We start from the raw sequence: 12,393 nt of genomic DNA, 5'->3' as shown, positions 1-12,393 counted from the left end.
GCAGGGCTGTCCCGAGAGGAAGACACAGGTGACAAATAGCTCTCCTGCATGTGTCTTCAAGGCTGTGATTGGTTTTTAAAAATTGTGTTTGAAATTCTTCCTCCAGGTTGATTCCTCGTGCCAGACCATTATTCCTAAAATTAAGCTGGAGCCTCATGAAGTGGATCAGTTTCTAAACTTCTCTCCTAAAGAAGGTCTGTCTGCCCTCCCTGTGTCCCTTTGGGTTATGGATATGGTCTCTGGGTCTACAGAGAGGGAATATGGCGAGAGAGCTGGGATGAGTTTGTACCACAGATGTTGTAGCTGGCTTTATGAAATAGCTCTGTTCTTAAAAAATAAAAATTTTGCTTCCAAATAAAAATTTTGCAAGCTAACTATTATTTTCCCATATATGCACGTGATTAAATTTCAGCTAAGTGTTACCATACTTTTACTTCTAACCAGGGTGATATTTTTCAAAACTTTTATGGACTGCTACTACAAACACTATCGAACAAGAGAACTGCAGCCCTTATTCATCCAGGCGTGAACCCTACGTAGCCCCACAAATCAACAACCATCTACAAAAGCACCTTGCTTATTTCAAACAACTCTAGTTTCAACTCTTTGTGAAGTAAATTCACAATTAATTATGTGGCCAATTCATTGTTTGTAAACATTGACTTTGAATGACAACTATTGCAAGGAGCCCCCTCTCTATTTGGTCATGTTCATGGTTCACAATTGTGCATCTTTTTGGGCTTCTTGACATCCATCCATTTAGAATTAACACATCCTTGAGGTGATCATACTTTTTTTTTTTTTTTTTTGAGACAGAGTCTCACTCTGTTACCAGGCTGGAGTGCAATGGCACCATCTCGGCTCACTGCAACCTCTGCCTCCCAGGTTCAAGCGATTCTTGTGCCTCAGCCTCCTGAGAAGCTGCAATTACAGGCGTGCACCACCACACCCAGCTAATTTTGGTATTTTTAGTAGAGACGAGGTTTTGCCACATTGGTCAGGCTGGTCTTGAACTCTCAGCCTTAGGCAATCCGCCTGCTTCGGCCTCCTGAAGTCCTGGGATTACAGGCATAAGCCACCACGCCTGGCCAAGGTTGTTATATTTCTATATTTATCTTTCTCTATGTCAGTTTCTTTCTGAGTTTCTCCCTCTTTGTTCTCCTATGAAGCCCATAGTTAGGAATCCTGGATGCAGACCCCTGAGCCTCATGAGGTCTAATGAAGCTCTCTCTGCCTTGCGTATGCAGATTCTCCGGCATACATCCTGCTCTTCTCACTTCTGTGCCTTCACTCATGCCATCACTTCCCTTTTCATTCATACTTTTTATTTATTTATTTTTTGTGTGTGAAACAGGGTCTTACTCTGTTGCTCAGGCTGGAGTGTAGTAGTGCCATCATGGCTCATGGCAACCTCAACCTCATGGGTTCAAGCGATTCTCCCACCTCAGCCTCCCAAGTAGCGGGGACTGCAGACATGCACCACCACGCCCAGCTAAATTTTGTATTTTTTGTAGAGATAGGGTTTCACCATGTTGCCCAGGCTGGTCTGAAACTCCTGAGCTCAAGTGATCCTCCCATCTTGGCCTCCCAAAGTGTTAGGATTAAAGGCATGTGCCACCTCACCCGGTCCCATTCATACTTTCAGTACAAATTTCAAAGTACAGTTCACTACTGTGGTCAACAAATAAGAAATTGGCTTATACAGTTGTCACCGAAAAGGTATATTTGCTACGGTATATAAATGTGAGGATGTTTACATATGAGCACTTCTCATGAAAATATCGTCTGTCTTCATTCCATTAGAAACTAACTCAGGATTTGGTTTGTAACAATGTAATCAGGGCTGGCCCTTTATTTGCCTTTATTATCAATAAAGAAAGGATTAAATTTTAAAAGTTAATAATACTTAGTGAAATAATACTTAGTAAATAATACTTATTTACTTAGTAAAAGTTAATACTTAGAATCCATATTGAGACACTATGTCTTTGCACTGAGTGACAGACAGTAGTGCCTTTCAGCTTTATGTACTGCTTCAAAGTAATTGCTTTCGTTTGTATAACACCAGTTATTACTATCAAATGCATCTTACTCTTTTAATTTATGCTGTGATGTGGTTCAGAAGTGTCATCACCATAACAATGAATCCCATAGTGGCTTCTGAATCCAGGGTTATTGGAGGAGAAATGTTTCAAGAATGAAGTTAAGGACAGCCCTTCCTCATTATCCTGGATAAACTGAGATAAGGAAATTCAATATCCTTGACTGCATCAGTTTCTAGGCACAGTAGCTTGTTGTCCCCAGACCTTGCAGTAACCCAAAAGCAGCATTTCAAATGATATTTAGAAATCTGATCCTGAGGTGCCTCTGGCCAGCTCTGTAGCTCTTAATAGATAGGAAAGACAAGATTTTACTTGCTTCACTTGCTTCAAATTCTCTTTCTGTCTTTTGTGGGGTGCCCTCTGCTTGGACGGGAGAACGGTATTAGAATAATTTGGCCCCTACCAAGTGAAAGGGACAGGGTGGCTCTAGGTACTCCTGGCTAGTTCTTGGGAATGTAACAGCACAAAGCCCCTATTAGGTTCGTCTGCTTCCCGTTTTTTTGTTTGTTTGTTTTTTTGTTTTTAAACCATGAAGTGCCATAATATTCATGGCATTCGAGAAACCTTGATTAACACGCTTAGGACTCCTCACTCTTAGCCAAGCACCTGCATATTTTCCCTTCCTGGGCTGCCTGCACCTGTGGCAGTAGTGGGAATAGCGCGATTAGGATTATTTTAGCATATTCTTTAGCTTTAAGAGTGCCCACAGAGACTAAAAAGCCCAGGGACCTCTTTGGCAAGACTGGCAGAGAAAAAGGGAAAGAGGAAACATCTAGAGAAAAGCTGTATGTGGCAGAAAGAGAAAGAAAGGGTGGGAGAGAGACAGGGAATCGCAATGAGAGAGAGAAGAAAAAAAGCATGCCAGGGCCGGGGGGACCAGGGTTGGCTGACGGGGCATTGCCTGTTGTGGCCTCGGCTATTCAGGTATTCCTGCAGGAGAGAGATGCTGATTGCTGCTCATCCTCTCTGAGGGCAGTGTATTAGTCTGTTTTCATGCTGCTGATAAAGTACCCAAGACTGGGCAATTTATGCAGAAAAAGAGGTTTAATGGCCTCACAGTTCCACGTGGATAAGGAGGACTCACAATCATGGTGGAAAGCGAAAGGCACATTTTACAAGGCGTCAGGCAATAGAGAAAATGAGAACCAAGCAAAAGGGGTTTCATCAGATCTCATGAGGCTTATTTACTACCACAAAAACAGTATGGGGGAAACTGCCCCCATGATTCAATGATCTCCCGCTGGGTCCCTCCCACCACATGTGGGAATTATGGGAGCTACAATTCAAGATGAGATTTGGGTGGGGACACAGCCAAACCATATCAGGCAGCTATGGGTAAGGTCATCTTTTTTGGGTCAGTTGTTGTGTCTCAGGAGAGCCCTTCCCATCCATAGTATGCTGGGTGGTCTCCATTGGAAGAAGGGACAAGGAGGTGATGTGCTGAGGCTTCCCGTGGCCTTCAGCAGTTAGTTCTCTGGCCGAGCAGAACCAGCTGTGTGGGCCATGCCCACCACGGGGCTGCTGTACAGGGGAATCCATTGTCCTGGGGGCTCCAGGAGTGAAGCGTTTACCTGCAGTTATCTCCCTTGGCTCAGTAGCAGTGGCTGGTACAACAGAAATGTGCACTGTTCAGAAAGAACAGTGAGACCCAAGAGTGCTTTCATTCACGTGGAAGCCTGGTTGGATTCCTCCTTCAGAAGCCCATCTCTGCTGCCCTGGAGATGCCTGATGGACGCTGACCAAGGCTCCATAGGCCCTGGCAGAGAGGGTGTTGTGCCTCCTTGAGGAAAGACGCGGGAGACTTTAGAGGAGAAAGTCCCCCCACTGCACTCTCACTTATTTTTCCTGTGCTCACTCCCGTATCTGAAGATGGATTTCATGTTTTCTGAATGAAGAATGCCTGGCGTCTTGCCTGCGGGCATGACCACGCACATTGCTCCAGAAACAAACCGGCTTTTTTCAAAGCAGCCACTCCGGCTTTTTGAGATGGATTCTCGCTCTGTCACCCAGGCTGGAGGGCAGTGGTGTGATCTTGGCTCACTGCAACCCCTAACTCCTGGGTTCAAGCAATTCTCCTGCCTCAGCCTCCCAAGTAGCTGGGACTATAGGTGTGTGCCACCACACCTGGCTAATTTTTTTTGTATTTTAGCATGATCTCGGCTCACTGCAATCTCTGCCTCCTGGGTTCAAGCGATTCTCCTGCCTCAGCCTCCTGAGTAGCAGCTGGGATTATAGGCACGTGCCACCACGCCAGGCTAATTTTGTATTTTTAGTAGAGATGGGGTTTCGCCATGTTGGTCAGGCTGGTCACAAACTCCTGACCTCAGGTGATCTGCCCACCTCAGCCTCCCAAAGTGCTGGGATTACAGCCATGAGCCACCTTGCCTGGCCCCTGGTCGCACGTTTATTGGTTTCTTGTATTCACTTCCAGTGTTTCTTTCTGCCAGTATAAGCAAATGTGGGTCTATATCCTCTTTCTCTCCTTTTTCATACAAAAGGAGGACTCCCATATCCACGCTCTGCACCTTGGAGATCTGTCCAGGTCAGCTCATGGAGGCCCCTCACACTTTAGTTTGCTATGCCACAAATCAGTTGTGTCCTGCTTTGTGGCTCTGGGATGGATGAGATGTGCTTCCTTTTTTGCAGCCCCAGTGGACCACCTGCATTTGCCGCCCACCCCTCCGAGCAGTCACGGCAGTGACTCAGAGGGCAGCCTGAGTCCCAACCCACGCCTGCACCCCTTCAGCCTGCCTCAGACCCACAGCCCCTCCAGAGCTGCACCCCGGGCCCCCTCCGCCCTCTCCAGCTCCCCTCTCCTCACGGCTCCTCATGTAAGTATGCAGCGGGCATTCCTGGACCAAAGGGAACCCTCTCCATTCATTCCCCTGGGGCTGTATCCAGAGCAGGACCACTCAAGGCTGTTTGGTTTTTACTTTTGTCAAGAAGTTTCTGCTTAATGGCGAAAGCAGAGTGATGTCAACCCTAAAGAACACTTTCTAGGAACTGCCCGCACATCTCACCTTTTACTACCACAATTCTCTTCCTTTTCACATGCACACTTCCAGTTTTTATTCATATGTTTATTTTACAGAGCTATAGACATGAGGAATAAAAATTTGGGGTTTTTCTCCTCAAAGTTCTATCATAAATATTTGCATTAATTTAATGGTCCTTGTGACCTATGTCATAGGAAATACCTTTTATATTTTAAAGAAGCAATTTTTGGTGAACTTAAAAATTACTCTGAGATTAATTTCTTTGATGCCTAAAGGTCAAAAACAGTTTAAGCCTTTTCTGTGTGTCATATGACTCTTAACCCAGAAACTCAGATCAGACATCAAGACCCCTCGTTCATCCCTCCCATACATGAGGACACCATAATAAAGAAGAATAGATCGTTAACTCCTTATTGTTCTAGGAGTGAATTGATTTCTATGAAATTTTAAAAATTATAATCAGCTATTTTGAATTCACAATCTCACAACTAGAAAATTTAAATGAAATGAGATGTTTTAAAATTCTGTAAGTACCATCCGTCCATTAATTAACATAACTTTGAAAATTTGTATTGATTCTGTCCCTGAAAGTTCTAGATCTGCAACCACATTCTTAAATTTCATCGTTACTGAGGACAAGGGAATTCACCCTTCCACTCTTTCTTCACCTTTTCACCTTGAACCTGACTTCACTCCTTGGATTACTAGAATAGCTTGTATCCTATATACCTGTGTGTACTACTATGATCTGTCCATTCTACATGTTTATGGAGGAACTCTTCCCCATGTCGGATGCTTGCCCAACAACTATGTTGTATTTCCCTGTTACTTGTTGGTACCAAGCCCTGACACCTTTACTCATTATCAGGTATCCAACCCTCCGCTGCTTCAAGAACTCCTTACCCACACTAGGCAGTGGCTTCTTCAGTGACTTTTCAAAATACTGCCTTTTGCTTAGAATGCACTCCTCTCTCTTATGTAAATCATCCCCTTTCTTTCAGGAGGCCCAATTCAAATCTCATCTCCTGCCCTAAACGTTTCCTGATCACACAACTCATAGTAGTGTTCTCTTACTTCAAATTTTTAGTACACCTTTAGCTAATGTATTAGTCCATTTTCATGCTGCTGATAAAGACATACCCGAGATTGGGCAATTTACAAGAGAAAGAGGTTTAATTGGACTTACAGTTCCACGTGGCTAGGGAAACCTCACAATCATGGTGGAAGGCGAGGAGGAGCAAGTCATGTCTTACATGGATGGCAGCAGGCAAAGAGAGAGCTTGTGCAGTGCAACTCCTGTTTTTTAAAACCATCAGATCTTGTGAGATTCATTCACTCTCACAAAAGCAGCATGGGAAAGACTCACCCCATAATTCAGTCATCTCCCACTGGGTCCCTCCCACAACACGTGGGAATTATGGGAGCTATAAAATGAGATTTGGGTGGGGACACAGAGCCAAACCATATCAGCTAAGATTACAGTTTAGCATTTAATTACTCTTATCCTTTCATGGGTATCAGTTCAGTCTCACAGTCTTGATCACAAGCTGCTTGAGAGGTAGGGTTTGTTTTGAGTCCTCCATGGCATTTAGTATGGAGCTAAAATGCAATAGGGACTCTGTTTGATTAATTATAAACATGCCATTCTACTGTGGGTTCCATGAGATGTGCTACTGTTCTTGTCTTCATTGTTGATGGACATTCTGAGACTGCTGAAGCCAGAGGCTTCTGTGGAAAGAGTCTGCAGATGTGTCCCTGGGTGCTCTGCACTCTTAGCTAAAAGTGGAGGAGAGAATTGACTCCTGTTGTGTAGAGAGCACCTTATAAAACTGCATTTTCAGAAGGAGAACAACAAAATTCTTGCACAAAGCAGGGCTGCAAATGAATCCTTCATCACTCCAAGGCCAGGAAATCTCTAGGGATGTGGGAAATGACTTCTCTGCTTTTTCTTTTCATGTTTTAGCGAGTAGGGTGCTTCCCGGGAAATAATGGGTGGAGGCTTCTTTATTCTTTCCCTTGAATTATAATCCCTAGGTTATAACACTCACATGGGGGTGTCTTCCCCATCTTCCCATGCCCTTCAAAATACCCATCTGTCACCCAAAGCAGATGGGGCATCCTTGTCTCAGAGCCTTCTGTAAGACATTGTAACAGATTCTCATCATCCCATTGGGAGGTGATTCTTCAGTGGTCCCAGTTCTTTTTCTTTGACCCTTTTCTGCTCCTTGGTCTGCACAGAAACTGCAGGGATCAGGCCCTCTGGTCCTGACAGAGGAGGAGAAGAGGACCCTGATCGCTGAGGGCTATCCCATCCCCACCAAATTGCCCCTGTCAAAATCAGAGGAGAAGGCCCTGAAGAAAATTCGGAGGAAGATCAAGAATAAGGTGAGCTCTTCAAATCTAGGCACTTCTAGAGCAGAGACGAGCAGAATCGAGTCAGCATCCCTTTCCCTGCCTTCCCAACGGCCAGCACTACCCCATCCCATGGTGGAGACCAAGGCCCAGCCCTTCCCTTCCCTAAGCCCTGGGAGGAGCACCCTCACCACGTGCCCCTCTCTTCCTCCAGCCCATCCCATCCCTCTTGAGGCCAGCAGACTCCCAGATCAGTATCTACCTCTTTGGTGCCCACGATGATACATTTACGGGTGGGAGGAAGCTATTAGAATTTCCATCTAGTTTTTTTTTTTTTTTTTTAACTCAGCCTTTTAAATTTTGGGTGTATGATATATACAATAGTTTCCTCTAGTAGACATATATATGTACTCTATGTATCTATATAAAATACAGCATATATATATATTATATATATATAAGATACAAATACATTGCAAGTGCTTGGTTAATTTTTTTTTTTCTTGGTAGGGTTTTGTGATCACAAAACTTCTGCAGTTTGCTGGTCTATATTTGGACTCAGTAGTCTCCTACCCCTGGGCCCCTCAGTGCTGAGCAGGCCTGATGAAAACCAGGGGGATGGCTGAGGCACAGGCCTACCAGGAGGGAGGGGGCAAAGAGGGAAGGAAGACAAGAGCTTAGTGTCACTCTATCCATGTGCGGAACCAGCAGCAAGTTGATGTATGACCAAGCCAGCTGTCTTATTTTATATATGTACTTCAGCCAGCAGAGGTCCAGGAGTTAAACTCATTTATCTGAGACCACACTGATGGTTTGTGAGCCACATGTTCTGGCCTGGCTCTTCACTCAGTGTCCATTGTTTTCTTTTCTTTTCTTTCTTTCTTTTTTTTTTTTTTCATACAGAGTCTCACTCTGTCACCCAGGCTGGAGTGTAGTGGCATGATCTCGGCTCACTGCAACCTCTGCCTCCCAGGTTCAAGTGATTCTCCTACCTCAGCCTCCCAAGCATCTGGAACCACAGACGTGTGCCACCATGCCCGGCTAATTTTTTTGTTTTTTGTTTTTTGTTTTGAGATGGAGTCTCTCTCTGTCACCTAGGCTGGAGTGCAGTGGCACAATGTCAGCTCACTGCAACCTCTGCCTCCCGGACTCAAGCGATTCTCTTGCCTCAGCCTCCCAATTAGCTGGGATTACAAGCATGCACCACCGCGCCCAGCTAATTTTTGTATTTTTAGTAGACGGGGTTTTACCATGTTGCCCAGGCTGGTCTTGAACTCCTGACCTCAGGTGATCTACCCGCCTTGGCCTCCCAAAGTGCTGGGATTACAGGCTAGAGCCACTGCGCCTGCCATTTTTTTGTATTTTTAATGGAGACAGGGTTTCACCATGTTGGCCAGGCTGGTCTCGAACTCCTGACCTCAAGTGATCCGCCCACCTCAGCCTCCCAAAGTGTTGGGATTACAGGTGTAAGCCACTGCTCCTGGCCACTCAGTGTCCATTTTACTGGTGGCCTGGTTTGTAGGAAAGTAGGTGTGAGTTTGGCAGCTAGAAACCCGGGAGGACAGACTAGTCAATGAACCAGCAGCTTAAACAAATGGCAAGCAGCTTGCAGAAGTAAGCAGGGCTTTGGTGACTTCTACGCTAACCACCTCCCATCTTAACTGGTTTACTTACAGAGCTGGAAATTAATCATTCTCCTCCCACTCCTCTCTCTCAGATTTCTGCTCAGGAAAGTAGGAGAAAGAAGAAAGAATACATGGACAGCCTGGAGAAAAAGTAAGCCTGCTGGCAAACTGTTGCGTTCATCGGGCAGTATGCACAGGGAAATATGGGTGTGCGGAGAATCGGGGAGAAGCAGTTCAATTCCTCTTTCTGGCCACCTTGGAAACCCGGTGGTTTATCAGCTGTGGTTTGCCTGCCACCTAGTGGTTATTTGGAGGAGACGTCTATAATAAAGCAAGAAAGAAGTGAAAGTACCTTAGTAGGTGTTTGAATCATACCACTGCCAGCCAAGGACCCCGGAGTCCTCACAGACTTCTTTTCAAACACATACAAATATTAACATTCCTGCACATTCCTGGAACTTCTAGCAGGAGAAGCCCTGTTTTAGCTGAAAGGAGCAGTGCTACTTAATCAGCCCCCATTGGCCACACTCCTTCATGCTCTAGAGAGGGCACATAGGGAAAGAAAGATGTCAGGTTGGCAGCCTTTATTTTCCAGCCACTACAATTCATGTTTTTTTTTTTTTGCAAAAACACTTGAAGGCAATCTTTGTTCTTTTGAAAAGTCTGTAATATCAGGCGGGCTGTTAGAAAAAGATGAATTAAATACAGTTTTGTCTTAGCCCTGGAAGTTAGTTCTTTAGCTAACAAACCAAGATATTTTTAAGATGGGCATGAGGCCCCAGACCCAGAAATGAACTTCATGTGGATCTGGGGAAAGGAGTGGCTGGTGGTTCCTGGCTGTTTCTCAAAGCTACTATTGAAAGTTTAGTGCTTCTATCACCTGACTTAAGTACTGGTAATGCAGCATTAAGTATAGTTGGCTCTCCATATCTGGGGGTTCAGCGTCCTCAGATTCAACCAACCATGGGTCTAAAATATTCAGAAAAAAACTTCAATAGGCTGGGTGTGATGGCTCACTCTTATAATCCCCGTGCTTTGGGAGGCCAAGGTGAGAGGATTGCTTGAGCTCAGGAGTTCAAGACCAGCCTGGGCAACATAGCCAGACCCCCTAAAAAATAAAAAAAAATTAGCCAGGCATGGTGGTGCACATCTGTGGTCCCAGCTACTCAGGAGGCTGAGAGGGGAGAATCACTTGAGCCCAGGAAGTTGAGGCTGCAGTGAGCTGTGATTGTGCCACTGCACTATAGCCTTGATGATAGAGTGAGACTCTGTCTCAAAAAACCAAAGCCAAAACCAAACAACTCAATAAAAAAAAACTACAACAATAAAAAATAATACAACTATAAATACAAGATAACACATATTTACATAGTATTTACATTGTGTTTGGTATTATAAATAACCTAGAGATGATTAACATATACTGGAGGATATGTAAAGGTTATATACAAATACTACACCATTTTTTAATCAGGGACTCGAGCATCTGGAGATTTTGGTATCTGTGGGGAGTTCTGGAACTAATCCCCCCTGAATACCGTGGGAAGACTGTAGTCCCATGCTGTCCCACCATTTTCTATGGGCATCCAGGGTCAAGATGTTCCTATGAAAGTCTCTTTACTGTCTCTTTTGGGCATGCGTGCCCCAGCACCAGGATTCCTAGTCCTGGGCTCTCGTCCTGCCCTTTGCTTAAGTCTCTTCACTTCTTATCAGTCCTGGTAAGAGTGTAGCTGGGAGTATCCAGATTACTGTAGTATAGAGGGAGAAGTATGATGGGCATTGAGAACACTAGGGAGGAGGTGAGAGGAAAGAGGTTGTAACACCCTAAAAGAGGGTCATATTTTGTACTGTCACTATTCATCTTTCATTATTCAGGCACTCATCACTCAGCTCCCTCTTTTTTTTTTTTTTTTTTGGAGACAGAGTCTCGCTCTGTGGCCCAGGCTGGAGTGCTGTGGCATGATCTTGGCTCACTGCAACCTCTGCCTCCCAGGTTCAAGTGACTCTTCTGTCTCAGCCTCCCAAGTAGCTCGGATTACAGGCACACACCACCATGCTCAGCTAATTTTTGCATTTTTAGTAGAGATGGGGTTTCACCATGTTGGCCAGGCTATTCTTGAGCTCCTGACCTCAAGTGATCTGCCTGCCTCAGCCTCCCAAATTACTGGGATTATAGACATGAGCCACTACGCCCGGCCCCAGCTCCTTCTATTTTTCTTTTTTTTTTTTTTTTTTGAGACAGATCTTGCTCTGTCACAAGGCTGGGGTGCAGTGGCGATCTTGGCTCACTGCAACATCTGACTCCTGGGTTCAAGCGATTCTCCTGCCTCAGCCTCCCGAGTAGCTGGGATTACAGGCACGTGCCACCACGCCCAGCTAATTTTTGTATTTTTAGTAGAGACAGGGTTTCACCATGTCGGCCAGGATGGTCTCTATCTCCTGACCTTGTGATCCGCCTGCTTCGGCCTCCCAAAGTGCTGGGATTACAGGCGTGAGCCACCGTGCCCGGCCTATTTTTTTTTTTTTCTTAAGTCTCTTCATCCTTCTTTCAATACTTTCCCACACTTCCATGGGGTGGCAGATCCCCCCAACCCTCCTTTTCCTCATCCCCACCTACCTCCACCCTAGCTCCTAGCTTAGTGTTTGCTCTATGGATAATAATTTTCTTCTTTCTCCCTCCTTTGTAGAGTGGAGTCTTGTTCAACTGAGAACTTGGAGCTTCGGAAGAAGGTAGAGGTTCTAGAGAACACTAATAGGTAAGTGTCACTGGACTGAGAGCTGATTGCGCTACCAATGGAAGATGGGGAAGGAAGAGGATAGAATCCAGAACCAGGGATGGCAGAAAAGTGGAGGAGGTCACAGTGAAAGTGCAGTTGTGCTGAGATGCTCAGCATGGCCAAACTCCACCCACCCACTCCTGCTACACACACACGCATGCACACGTGCTACTCTTGCACATATACAAACACATATGCACACATGCTCTCATGTTCACATCCACAATACACATATGTACACACTCTCATATGCACATACATGTACACATACATGCATATTCTTTACTTTTCCTAAATGATACAGGATTGAAGAAGAAGCTGATCATGACAAGGACTATGACTAGGGGGTTAAAAAAGAGGCTTGGAGGAGAATAAGATCAACAAGCCTGATTCTCCTGAAAATGACATCAAAATTTAGAGGTGACCAAGGAGGCACTGGCCACTTCATTATAATCTAATTTTAGTAGCAAATGATACTTATTAGTTTAAAAAAAGAGAAAATCATTGGTATTTTTTTTTTCTTTTTTTTGAGACGGAGTCT

The 12,393-nt window shown here is 44.9% G+C and overlaps 1 protein-coding gene across 3 annotated transcripts in view, besides 1 other annotated feature; it reads left to right on the top strand.

Moving 5' to 3' along the window:
- Positions 1–12,393, top strand: part of CREB3L2 (cAMP responsive element binding protein 3 like 2) — a 127,108-nt gene that overhangs the window by 88,902 nt on the left and 25,813 nt on the right. For 2 of the 3 annotated variants that reach the window (NM_194071.4, NM_001318246.2), the window contains exons 4-8: positions 107–194; positions 4,749–4,933; positions 7,337–7,483; positions 9,168–9,226; positions 11,763–11,831. In NM_194071.4, coding sequence (NP_919047.2) covers positions 107–194; positions 4,749–4,933; positions 7,337–7,483; positions 9,168–9,226; positions 11,763–11,831 — 548 coding nt within the window. Of the gene's footprint in view, positions 1–106; positions 362–4,748; positions 4,934–7,336; positions 7,484–9,167; positions 9,227–11,762; positions 11,832–12,393 lie in introns of those variants that run through there. The other variant, NM_001253775.2, reaches the window with a different exon arrangement.
- Positions 8,649–9,149: an enhancer, noted in NCBI's record as "H3K27ac hESC enhancer chr7:137588782-137589282 (GRCh37/hg19 assembly coordinates)". NCBI's record gives its function as "activates a minimal SCP1, AML or CMV promoter by ChIP-STARR-seq in primed H9 embryonic stem cells {active_cell/tissue: H9 hESC(primed)}" and the evidence as "EXISTENCE:reporter gene assay evidence [ECO:0000049][PMID:30033119]".

This window comes from Homo sapiens, chromosome 7 (genome assembly GCF_000001405.40).
Source record: "Homo sapiens chromosome 7, GRCh38.p14 Primary Assembly".
In the NCBI taxonomy this organism is placed as follows: domain Eukaryota; kingdom Metazoa; phylum Chordata; class Mammalia; order Primates; family Hominidae; genus Homo; species Homo sapiens.
This window is presented reverse-complemented; position numbering and strand designations above follow the sequence as displayed.